Source organism: Homo sapiens, chromosome 6 (assembly GCF_000001405.40).
Source record: "Homo sapiens chromosome 6, GRCh38.p14 Primary Assembly".
NCBI classification, from domain to species: Eukaryota; Metazoa; Chordata; class Mammalia; order Primates; family Hominidae; genus Homo; species Homo sapiens.
This window is the reverse complement of record NC_000006.12, coordinates 78579704-78580942: the sequence shown is the minus strand read 5'-3', so window position 1 is coordinate 78580942 and position 1239 is coordinate 78579704. Positions and strand designations below refer to the sequence as shown.

At 35.8% G+C, this 1239-nt stretch overlaps 1 annotated feature.

Moving 5' to 3' along the window:
* Window positions 342-868: an enhancer, noted in NCBI's record as "NANOG hESC enhancer chr6:79289792-79290318 (GRCh37/hg19 assembly coordinates)". NCBI's record gives its function as "activates a minimal SCP1, AML or CMV promoter by ChIP-STARR-seq in primed H9 embryonic stem cells {active_cell/tissue: H9 hESC(primed)}" and the evidence as "EXISTENCE:reporter gene assay evidence [ECO:0000049][PMID:30033119]".

Sequence of the window (1239 nt, the reverse complement as noted above, 5' to 3'; positions counted from 1 at the left end):
AGCAATAGACCCTCTGATGTGCCCACATCTCTGCAAATGTGTGACTGCTCTGCTTGGGGGCTGGCTGCCTGCATAATTGCTAAGCTTGGCACTTCTGTTTGTTGACATTAAATGCTATTAGGGAACAACTTTGTGAAACAATATTTTTGGTGATGCTGCATTTTCTTAACATAATTTTCATTACATTCACGTGGACATTCACGACAAACCTACAGGCATGCCCTTATGTTTTTTAGAACAGCTGTTTTCAGTTTAACTGATGTAATTGCTCAAACTGGTCATCATTTTAGTTTCTCCTCCTCCAATCTTCACATATAACCCAATGTACAGTAGTCTCAAATCCATTTATCTATCTCTTGAAAAAGAGCAAATAAAAATTAAAAACAAGAGATTTAACTCTCCCTGTTGAAAATAAGGGAAGAGACCATTCCCCCCCTTCCCTTTCTTAGATTATTTACTTAAGAAAATTGTAATTATAAGTTATTTCTCTATCTCTTTGAAATGTGTGTAAACCTTTTAAAAAGCTGAATAGTCTCTTATCAGCTTTAAGACCCAGGAATGTCTTTTTCAAGGACCTGAGATCATCTCCTTGAAATGTAAATATCCAGAGAGATTGCATCTTTATCTCCCAGTCTCTGTGGGAGGATAGGAGTACCTTACTCCGAGTTACAAAGCTACTTCCTTTCATAAAGATCTGAGAAGTTAAAAATCTCCTTTTGATAAAGCTGATTAGCAAACACAGATGGCCACCCTAATTACCAGGTGAATCTAGGATGAACTATCTGTAATAAATGATGCTGTGAAGTCCACTTAAGGACTATAGATGCTCCTCGTTTTATGATCCGGTTATGTTCTGATAAGCTCATTGTAAGCTGAAAATATTATGTTAAAATGCATTTAATACATCTAATCTACCAAACATCATAGCTTAGTCAAGCCCACCTTAAACGTGCTCAGAACACTTTTATTATCTTACAGTTGGGCAGAGTCATCTAACATAAAGCATAATAAAGTATTGAATTTCTAATGTAACTTATTGGACACTGTATTGAAAGTGAAAAATAGAATGTTTATATGAGTACTTGACATATGGTCTCTAATGTATCCATATTATACCATTGGAAAGTCACAAACTCATAAGTTGGGGACTGTCTGTAGTTGTTGCTTACCTTAAGAATAGGCATGTAACAGGTTGAATGGGCTTGGCTATATAAAAGGGTGAGATTACTTTCCAGTTTG